Source organism: Homo sapiens, chromosome 15 (genome assembly GCF_000001405.40).
Source record: "Homo sapiens chromosome 15, GRCh38.p14 Primary Assembly".
NCBI lineage: Eukaryota > Metazoa > Chordata > Mammalia > Primates > Hominidae > Homo > Homo sapiens.
The window spans coordinates 60377776-60389405 of record NC_000015.10 but is presented as its reverse complement, the minus strand read 5'-3'; the positions used below and the strand labels follow the sequence as shown (position 1 = coordinate 60389405).

Below are 11630 nucleotides of genomic sequence, written 5' to 3'. Positions count from 1 at the left end.
ACTTGAAAGAACAACACAATGAAAAGTTACCGTGCCTCTAGTTGAGATTTTCTAAACATCGGAACCAATGTGAGGTGTCTGATTTCATAAACAAGTGGAATTTAATCTATACTCTCTAAGTGGAAACAACTCTGTTTGCAACTCTGACTTGCTAGTTCCCTGGTTTTGCTTTTGTTTTACGTTTGGCATTTTTTATTTCTTGCCTGTTTATGGTAGAGACTAGAATTCTGCACAGCAGATGACAACAGTTTATCCCCTGCTGCAGACCTGGTCCAGTTCTGACTGAGTCCAGGGGTGATAGTTAAGGCCAGGGCTTGGGTGGTTTGATGTCCATCCTAGGAGTTTCACCTCTGCTTCGGTAATTCTCGGGCTGAGGGATACTGATGAGACCCTCTAGAATGTTTCTTGGTCCATGTTGAAGTTAGAGATTTCTTGCTCTGTCAAGAAGACTGTCAGCCTGGGCAAGGTAACGCGACATTATCTCTACTGGAAAAAAAAAAGCCAGGTGTAGTGGCACACGCCTGTAGTCCCAGCTACTTGGGAGGCTGAGGCAGGAGGATCTCTTGAGTCCTGGAGATCAAGGCTGCAGTGAGCTATGATTGCACCACTGCACTCCAGCCTGGGTAACAGAGAGAGAAACCCTGTCTCAGACAAAAAAAAAAAAAAAAAAGGTCTAGGTGTGGTGGCTAACCCCTGTAATCTCAGTGCTTTGGTAGGCTAAGGCGGAGGGATTGCTTGAGCCCAGGAATTCAAGACCAGCCTGGGCAACACAGTGGGACCTTGTCTCTACTGAAACATTAAAAAAAAAAGGAAAAAAAATGGAAAAAGGAAAAAGGAAATTAAATGGAAATAAGATATATTCAACATATCATAGTTGTAATTGTAATATATGATCAATATATAAATTATTGGGCTGGACACAGTGGTTTATGCCCGTAATCTCAGTGCTTGGATCACTTGAGGCTAGGAGTTCGAGACCAGCCTGGGCAACATAGCAAGACCCTGCCTTTACCAAGAAAGAAATTATAAATGAGAAATTTTATATAATTTTTTCATACTATGTCTTCAAAATTCAGAATGTCCTTTACACTTATAGCACATCTCAGTTTGAACTGACCACATTTCAGATGCTTTGTAGCCACATGAGGCTGGTGGCTACTGTATTGGACGGTTCTGCTACAGAGCAAGACTATTCTAAATTGTCTTTTTTTTTTTTTGAGACGGAGTTTTGCTCTTGTTGCCCAGGCTGGAGTGCAGTGGTGTGATCTTGGCTCACTGCTACCTCTGCCTTCTGGTTTCAAGCTATTCTCCTGTCTCAGCCTCCCGAGTAGTTGGGATTACAGGCGCCCGCCCCCACGCCCAGCTAATTTTTGTATTTTTAGTAGAGATGGGGTTTCACCATGTTGGCCAGGCTGGTCTCTATCTCCTGACCTCGTGATCTGCCTGCCTCGGCCTCCCACAGTGCTGGGATTACAGGTGTGAGCCACCGCACCCGGCCGATTGTCTTCATTTTTAGGAAAGTTTTAGGTTCATGGCAAAGTTGAATAGAAAATACAAAGAATGCCCATGTTCCCCTGTTCCCACATACGCATAGCTTCCACTGTCAACATCCCGTATCAGGGTGGTACATTTGTTAGAACTGATGAACCTACATTGACACATCGTTACCACTCAAAGTCCATCGTTTACATTAGCATTCACTGTTGGTGTTGTACATAGATGCATCCACCATTACAATATCAGATAGAATCATTTCATTGCCTTAATAATCCCCTCCCCTGAATCCCTGATCTTTTTGCTGTCCCCATAATTTTGCCTTTTCCAGAATGGTATGAAGTTGGAACTATACACTGTATTACCTTTTCAGTTGGCTTCTTTCACTCAGCAATGTGCAATTTAGGTTCCTCTGTGTCTTTTCATGGCTTGATGGCTCATTTCTTTTCAGTGCTGAATAATATTCCATGTCTGAATGTACCACAGTTTATTTCTAGAGCAATACTTTTTACAAACCAGAATTATACCCCAACGGTGGGACAAATTGGGGTGGGGAGGCTGTCTGAGAGTTGTGAGTGTGGGGGAAGTGGAAGGTCTTTGACTGACTTTTCGCTGTGCATAAAAAGCTTCTGTGAGCATCAAGAAGAGAGTAGTGGTCTGGGGGAGAGCCCAGGATGAGAATCTTGCAAAAATACATCCTTCACCACAACTAAAGGCGAATCCTCTCCTCTTACATTTCCCCACTTTCTTCCCACACCAGGCCTGGGATCTGCTTAGTCCAAAATGTTCCTATAAGTTAGCAAATATCTATGTCACATACTCTCGCCAAACCAGTTTTATGAAAATATTTAGACTAAACAAAGTGAAGAGAATAGAAAGCTGTATTTGCATGTGTGCAGTTTCCTTGATCAAAGAATATTAAGCAAAAAGAGACCAAAGCAGGAGTCACTGCAATTTAAATGTCGTTCCTGTCTATTTCAGGACGCAGCTCTACTCTGTTTTCTTTATTCTTGGGGTGATTATGTTGATGACCTGTCTTGTCTCTGTTGAGATAAATTTACCACCAATTGAGCACTCCTTATTGGCAGGGATTGGGTGTATCAATTCCGAGAACTGTATGATTGCAAAGGTGGAAAGCCAATTCATCAGGCTATTGTTTTGCTGCCCCATTAAGTATATTAACTGGAAGATGACTTCATTTCAACCATTTCAAATCTTAAATACAACAGATTCAGTCCTTTATGGAATGAGTTAAGGTCAGAAAATCTGTCCATCGTCTTTCTCATAAATACTTTAATATCTTCCAAGTATCATTGGACTAAGAAAGTAATTATGGGTAATAATAAAGATTCCAATTAAGAATTAGGGCAACATGAAAATGCTACTAATTTCGATTCACATCGTAGCTTTCAGGTCCTTCTCAATATGTTTAATTACTTGTGAGAAATACAGAAGTAGTGGCTGGTTCGGCAAGCCCATCACCTTTTATGAGAAGTAGAAGACTCAGTTTTATCCTGTCTGAACAGGTTGCATTAGCCATGGGGAACATTTTGTTTTTGCATTCACACATCAGTCTCCCCAGGTTCTGTTTACACAGAGGAAGAGAAAGACTGGCTAGTTTAGTAGTCCATCCCAACCCAAGGCAGACCATCTCTGAGGTTTAGTTTTTACAGTCGTAAGATGGGAATTGCATCTGTTTGCAAAAACTACTCCAATATCGTCAGATGAAATGGTCCAAGGAGTAGAAATTAGCATAATGAATCGCTGTGCTTCAGAGTAAAGGAGAGCCTCTTCATAAAGACTTTTTGTTGTACTTTTTTTCCAGCTTCCTTCAAAATGTCTACTGTTCACGAAATCCTGTGCAAGCTCAGCTTGGAGGGTGATGTAAGTATATCACTTTCACTTTATATAATTTTTGCAAGTTGGACATCTCTCTGGATAACCATATTACTCTCTATCCTTGTACATCTAAGGAAGATGGGGACAATTCAGACAGTCATCATTTGGTTCTCCTCTTTCTTAATACTTCAGCTGTTCCTAGTAGTTCAATTTGAAGGAAATATCATGGCACTGGAAACTTTTCTTGGCCTCACATTAAAATTGGACAGAATTAGTGACACTGGAATGGCTGGAATTTTATTCTGCCATACTTAGCATGTCATTGGTAATAACTGTTATGATGGTACATGACTTTTAATGTCATGTCCTGGGATTTTATTACTGGTTGGCATAAGCCACAGCCATATCAAAACTAATTCTGCATCTTTTGGATTTCTTACAGTGTCCAGGAAGTTATTCCAGATGAAGACTTATACTTTTATTTTATTTATTAATTTATTCATTTTTTGAGATGGAGTCTCACTCTGTTGCCAGGCTGGAGTGCAGTGGCGTGATCTCGGCTCACTGCAACCTCCACCTCCTGGGTTCAAGCAATTCTCCTGCCTCAGCCTCCCCAGTAGCTGGGACTACAGGTGTGCACCACTACACCCAGCTAATTTTTGTATTTTTAGTTGAGACTGGGTTTCACCATGTTGGCCAGGATGGTTTTGATCTCTTGACTTCGTGATCTGCCTGCCTTGGCCTCCCAAAGTGCTGGGATTACAGGTGGGAGCCACCATGCCTGGCTCGAGGACCTATACTTTAAAAAATTTCACACCTGGAAAATATTTTCTCTAAAAAAGCTAGGATATTTCTTTTAAAAAACCAAGAATATAATGAAATTATTGTAATTCATCTGTTTCCTTTTTTTCTGTGGCTATTAGGGAATTTAGAACTAAACTGAATTTTCTTTCATAGGAAATATGTGAACCTAGAAATTCTGTTGCATTTGTTTCTTTTTTTTACAAATAAAAAATTTAAGCTATATGTGAAGTTAAAATTATTTCAAATACTTTTAGAATCAAGTGGAATATAAATTATGAATATGTAAAATAGCTAATGGTACTATACATCTTCCAGGTCATCCTGGCAGAAATGGCTTTTACGCAGACTCAGCACTGATACTGGTTTGTAGCCATATCCGACAGATCTTTCAAAATATTCTTTGATTGAAATTAAAATGCAATGAATCACTCAACAGAGGGTTGACAGTGACTTGGGTCACATGGTGCAAGACCCTCTGTATTGTTCATGGTACTTGCCATCAAAATGTTCAAATTAATGGAGCCTGTGAAAGCACAGGTTGTATGGAGTATAAAGCCTATAGAGTTTTTTTAAAATCTTTTTTCTTCTTGAAACGTGTGCATGCTGTTTTTGGGAACAATACAAACTGCATGTTGAAGTCAGACAAATTCAGGTGCTAAATAATTTGTTTCTCTAATGGACTTAGATTGTATTTGCTATCAGGTTTTATAAGAGGGCTTTTTGTGTAGCCTCTGAAGTTACTCTAGTATATTTCTTATGTGTGGAGAGGTGGGGCAGAAATAGAAAATGTCACATGTTCCCCATTATTTTAAGGAAAGAAAAGATAACTTTGTCTCACTAATTTCATTTCAGACAAGTGGATTTTATAGGTAATAGGTTCAATTCTCGATTTAATTTCATTTCCAGAGACACTATAAAATGACACAAAACTTTTCCCCCTCACTGTTGTTTTTGGAACAAGACGACATATCTCCTGGTAAATGCAGTCATACATGATATGGCTCAATGCCTGGACTGCCTGCCTTGTAAATAACCGATGGCACTCTTAATAAATGGGAAAATGTTTTTCCTTAGATTTCATCCACATTTTATAGCTACCATAGCAAACACACTGAGTATTTCAAAATAGCACTTTGCCTTTTTCCTGAATGTGTGCTCCATGTCATCAAGTTCATCTTACTGGAAAGTTTAAGTGGTGAAATTAGATGGAACATACTTTGATAATGCATTGCATGTCAGGTTATAAATATGAACTGGATTTAATATTTGGCCAAGATAGTCCTCACAAGTGCGTTTGGAAACATTTGTCAAATGCTGAACTTAGATTTCTGGCCTCTCCTGGGAGTCATCTAGATATAGGAAGGCATCTTAGATGCTCACCTATACAGTCTCAGTGCTAATAAAATGGAATGGCGTGGGTGCTGGGTGGTTTATAATGTGATGCCTGTGGGTGGAGAAGTAACTCACGGATCTTGGCCTTTTCACTCTTCACAGAAACTGCGCCAAGGCCAAGTCATCACATTATACGGGCATTATGTGCTGGGGGGGTTGGGGTGGGTTGCAGGATGGGAGCCTTGATGATGAGGATGGGCAGTGATGCTGCCTCCACCAGCCATCAGCCAACCACAACCACAATGTACATCCTCTTTGTCTGCCCTTAGCTTTGGGACTGGGTAGCAGGGAGAGGGAAAACTATAAGAGCATTTCAAAGAAGGAGGGAAGTTAATACCTTGAAAGGAGAACTGACGTAGAAGCACTCCATTGTCCTTACCTCAATCTGGAATGGGAGATTCCCATCTGTCAGATCAGGAAGGATAATGAGCTTTGAAAAGCACTGAAAGGCTGGGCGTGAGCCACCACGCCTGTAATCCCAGCACTTTGGGAGGCCAAGATGGGAGGATCACTAGAGCCCAGGAGTTCAAGAGCAGCCTGGGCAACACGGCGAAATCCTGTCTCTACAAAAAATATGAAAAAATTAGCCCGGTGTGGTGGCAGGTGCCTGTAATCCCAGATACTCAGGAGGCTGATGTGGGAGGATCATCTGAGCCCAGGAGGTTGAGGCTGCACTGAGCCATGATCACACCATTGCATTCCAGCATGGGCAACAGAGTGAGACCCTACCTAAGAAAAGAAAGAAAAGAAAAGAAAAGCATTGGGAAAGGAAGAGGGTATGGTTTAGAAGGCAATAAGAAATCTTAGGAAGAGTGGAGGGTGGTAGGCACAAGGGATGGTATTAATAAAGGCAGAGGGAAGGATACAGAGGAGAGGGGGGGAAACACAAGGAGGATGTGGGCCGTCTGGCCAGACCACCTTGGTGCCACAGTGGTGACCAAAGTAAAGAGGTGGGAGAAGCTGCTTCCCTCATTTATCTGAATTGTAAGCTCAGCAACACTGGCCCAGTAGAAATTCATGTACCTGTAGCAGAAACTTAGCTAAACACCCTTGTCCTTGAGGCATTTCCACATTTTCAGCTTATTTCGAATTGTTGCCAGCCCAGTTTAATGGTCTTCAGAGCCATCCTGAGTAAATGCTGGCTTCAGGTCTCCAGCTTTGCATTGTCTACTTTTGATCTCTCACTAAAAGTAAGATGAGAAGTTGAAATTGAGACAGCATATTCTAAACTAGCTGAGCCTTTGAAGAATTCTTATTAGAAAAAATGAAATTGCTTGCGTGAAGTGTGATGGTGTGTTAATACCTACCTAGTTACCTAGTATGAGAATGATCTGAATTGTTAAAAGAAACAATAGGAAAACATATTAGGCATTGTTATTTCAACAAGAGGATTTTAAATGTGTGTCATTTGAGTATGTTTATCTTTTAACCTCAGCACTCTACACCCCCAAGTGCATATGGGTCTGTCAAAGCCTATACTAACTTTGATGCTGAGCGGGATGCTTTGAACATTGAAACAGCCATCAAGACCAAAGGTAGGTGATACATTTGTCCTCTTCTTGTCAGGGTCTTACTGAGACATTTTTGGTTGTCTCTTTATTCTCCCTCAAATCGCCATACGTTGGCGATTTGAAATTGTCATCGAGCTTTAATGGAGTAGATCCAGACCTAGCTCAACCCATGCCTCCTTTCCTTCCTTCCCTCCTTCCTTTCTTTCTTTTTCCTTTTCTCCTTCCCTCCCTTCTCCCTTTCTTCCTTCTCTCCCTCTTTCTCTTTCTCCCTTCTTCCTGCTCTTCCTTCCTTCCTCCCTCCCTCCCTCCCTCCCCTCCCTTCTTTCCTTTCCTCCCTCCCTTCCATTCTTTCCTCCCCCACCCCCCGTTTCTTCTCTTTGGAGAGATGTACAGCATGAGATAGTATTTTAACCAAGTAATGGTTAAAAGGAATCAGTCTGGGAGCCGGATCTGGTCCTAGGGGTATGCTTTTGGGTGCAGCTCTTCACTTTGAGGCTTCAGTCCCTCTTCTGCAAGGAAGAAGTTGGTCATAGTGGTCCCTAAGGGCATTTTTTGTTCCAAGTCCCCTTTAATTTAATTACATTTGCTGGGAAAATCTTACTGCATTGCTCTTAGATTGATCTAGAGAGTGAAAAATTCAGACTTTTTTTGTTTTTTTTAAACCCCGGTAAGTTCTGCTGCTCCTTAGGCCTGGAGCTGGAATTAGAAGAGCTGTCAGAATGAGTGTATTTCCTCAAGTTCTAGGATGAGTAAGAGAAGACCAGGAGGCGTAAAAGCCTTCCTCTTGAAATAAAGCAAATAAAGTGCTAACTGGTTAGGGTTGAGCAAGAGCTTCTTATGGTCATTATATTGTTTTCTGGGTCTACAAAATAGGATGTTCAGACTTTCTGGGCTTATATTAATTAAGCAATCCTTGGGGTTGTCCCATCCCCTGAATCCCTGAAAAATATTGCAGCTCTCGTGGTGACTTTTGTGATTCTCCACTTTTCCCCCCTTGGATAAAGCACTTCCTTTCACCATGAGGCCAGATTGGGATGCAGACGTGACCCAGCACAATTAGAGCTGCTGCTGGTTCGTGCCCCTGGTGAAGAGCCATGTCACATTTTTCTCTTCTATGTACAGCGTTTTAACTTACTGACACACTTATATAGTTCACATACGGTTCGTTGAAAGACTGAGAAACCTCAACCAGGCTGACCTGGGAACCTATAACTAGGATGACGTCCTGGTTTATGCCTGCGTATTTACTAATAGTGCACCTTTCACTCTCAGAACTGTCTTATTTTGGAGGATACATTACATGGTCACCTTTCCTAAAACCATGTAGAATCTGGTGACCTTGTTTCCAGAGACAGGAAGTAGAGTAGAAAAACCCGCTTAACGTTCTATGGTTCTAACAAGATGTGAGGATTTATTTGCATCATCTGCCTTGGGGAAGCCTTATGTTCTGCAGTTGCTGTGGACCACCCCCCAGATGACTGTCTGCACAGCTGAGGGCAGAATAATGAAGCATCCAAATTAGACCTTTAAAAAAAAAATCTTTTTTTTTTTTTTTTTTTTTGAGATGGAGTTTCACTCTTGTTGCCCAGGCTGGAGTGCAAGGGCATCATCTCAGCTCACTGCAACCTCCACCTCCCGGGCTCAAGTGATTCTTCTGCCTCAGCCTCCCTAATAGCTGGGATTACAGGCACACACCACCATGCCCAGCTAATTTTCTGTTTTTAGTAGAGACAGGGTTTCTCCATGTTGGTCAGCCTGGTCTCGAACTCCCTCACCTCTGGTGATCCGCCCGCCTTGGCCTCCCAAAGTGCTGGGAGTACAGGTATGAGCCGTCGCACCCAGCCCAATCTTTTTTCTTTTTTTTTTTTTTTTGGTGCATTTAAATGACCATTCTTGCCAAAAGTTACTACTCAGAAAATTAAACTAAAATCTGCAGGGCTTATTTCACTACAGCCAGTTCCAGTCAGTGGAGCATAGTGGATGAGAGCGTATGTGAGCCCAGGTTCAAATGCTGGCTCCACAACTCACTCATTAGCCACCCGACTTGGGGAAAACACGGAACTTTGCTAAGACTGAGTTTCCTTGCCTATAAAGGGGTGCTAATCAAAGTTCCCACCTCACGGGATTGTTGTAAAGTATGAAGCATTTAGCACGATGCCTGGCATATAGATGGTACTCAAAATATGTTACCTTAAAACACACACACGTACAAGCACATGCACACACACATGCACATACACATCCATGTGGTTTGCTTTCCTAAAACCCATCCTATTTCACTATTTGGATGTGCCTAGATTCATGTGGTTTCCCAGCATGTCATTGCAGCAGCCCTAAGTTTAGCAGTTAACTCATCTAGCAAAGATGGTGCTTTTCACAAGCATGGGACAAAGACTTCTTTTGTCCCTGCGTGAGAAAGCACTTAGTGCACTGGAATGTAAAGATTGCGCAAATGAACTCTGGTCACAGCTGAAACTCTCATGGTAATAAAAATACCTTCAGGCCTTTTGGAGTTAGTAGAAAAATACTGTAGTTTTTAGACAGAAACGTCTGGAGGGCTAAGATTTAGATTCCGACATTCCAGTTTGATCAAAAGCAGCTGACATTATCATCATTGCAACTATTTATAAAATGCTCGTTGTGGGCAGATACTGCACCAGGCACTTCAGGAACATTCATCTTAGATGAACTTCAAAGTAACCTCTGATGTAGTGTTCTGTCATCCCCAGGTCTTGGATGATACAAGTCAGGATTAGTATGCCTGAGGTCTTTTGGCCTTGGATCAAACTGGGATTTGAACACACCTCTGTCCACCCCTAGGCCTGTGTTCTTAGGCACCATAATGTTGTAGCACTCACCTGTGAGGAATGGATTTTTTTCATTGCCTTGGATTTTTTTCATTGCCTTGAATTATTTTCAGATATGAAAAACATTGTTCATCTGTGGTCTTACTGACTTCTGTTAAGTCTCATATTTGTGGTCTAGCTTTAGATTCTCCATCTCCTTTTTTTTCCCCCAGACTTAATGTTCAGTGAGTTTCACTTAGGTCCACTTTTTATTTATTTTATTTTTATTCATTTATTTTTTTGAGATGGAGTTTCGCTGTGTCACCCAGGCTGGAGTGCAGTGGTGTGATCTTGGCTCACTGCAACCTCTGCCTCCTGGGTTCAAGCAGTTCTCTGCCTCAGCCTCCCGAGTAGCTGGGATTACAGGTGTGCGCCACCACACCTGGTTAATTTTTGTATTTTTAGTAGAGACGGGGTTTCACCATCTTGGGCAGGCTGGTCTTGAACTCCTGACCTCGTGATCCACCCGCTTTGGCCTCCCAAAGTGCTGGGATTATAGCCGTGAGCCACCGCGCCTGGCCTATTTATTTATTTACTTATTTATATATATATTGTAAGACAGAGTCTTGCTGTGTCACCAGGCTGGAGTGCAGTGGCACAATCTCGGCTCACTGCAACCTCTGCTTCCTGGGTTCAAGCTATTCTCATGCCTCAGCCTCCCAAGTAGTTGGGACTATAGGCGTGTGCCACCATGCCTGGCTAATTTTTGTATTTTTAGTAGAGACGGGGTTTTGCCATCTTGGCCAGGCTGCTCTCGAACTCCTGGCCTCAAGTGATCCGCTGACCTCAGCCTCCCAAAGTGCTGGGATTACAGGTATGAGACACCGCACCCAGCCTACTTATTTTTGATGCTTAGTGATTTTAGAGAGTAAGTAGGTTTTGCAAGTCCATTGGTCCTTTAAAATAATTTCTAGATTGTTGGCATTATTAAAACCCTAAATCCTTTTAGGAACTATTGCGAAGAAAGAATATGATATTCGTAAGAGCTCAGTGCTAATATTAGCATTGGTTATGGTAGTGAAAGACCAGATAAATCTTTTAGTTGGGAAGTATGTCTTGAGGTATACTTCCTTATAATCATTAAGTAAATAAGTAAAACTATATTACATAGATAATGTGTAACTCTCTGTATTACATAGAATGTCTGCAGAATGTAGATAGGAAAAATAAAGTTTGTCAATAATTTTCAACATCTTTATTGAGATACAGTTAATCTGCCATACGATTTGCCTATATAAAGTGTACATTTCAGTGTGTTTAGTAGTGTATTTGCAGAGTTGTGCAGTCATCACCACAGTAACTTCCCTAACACTCATTTTAACATCCATTCACCTTAAATGTGTCAGTTGCATCAAGAAATAGAAATGGGATGGTATATGCTATGTGATCACAACCACAACCATTTTTTTTTTCTTTTTGAGGCGGAGTCTCACTCTGTTGCCCAGGCTGGGGTGCAGTGGCATGATCTTGACTCACTGCAACCTCTGCCTCCTGGCAGAACCCTCCTGGGTTCAAGCAATTCTCCTGTTTCAGCCTCTTGAGTAGCTGGGACCACAGGCATGCACCACCACACCTGGCTAATTTTTGTATTTTTAGTAGAGACAGGGTTTAACCATGTTGGCCAGGCTCGTCTCGCACTCCTGACCTCATGTGATCCACCTGTCTTGGCCTCCGAAAGTGCTGGGATTACAGGTGTGAAATCATAGGCCTGGCCTATGATTTCTTTTAATCAAAAAAGAAAAAA

General features: G+C 41.9%; 1 protein-coding gene across 12 annotated transcripts in view; it reads left to right on the top strand.

The window, feature by feature from the left end:
• The window catches only part of ANXA2 (annexin A2), a 50836-nt gene that overhangs the window by 8581 nt on the left and 30625 nt on the right, over positions 1-11630 (top strand). For 8 of the 12 annotated variants that reach the window (XM_047432407.1, XM_047432405.1, XM_017022092.2 and 5 more), the window contains one exon: positions 3320-3378. Coding sequence is in view for 4 of the 12 variants with exons in the window: in NM_001002858.3 (NP_001002858.1) it covers positions 3320-3378; positions 6965-7064 (159 nt within the window). In the remaining 8 variants the exon portion in view is untranslated. Of the gene's footprint in view, positions 1-3319; positions 3379-6964; positions 7065-11630 lie in introns of all 12 variants that reach the window. The other 4 variants (NM_004039.3, NM_001136015.3, NM_001002857.2 and 1 more) reach the window with 1 other exon arrangement.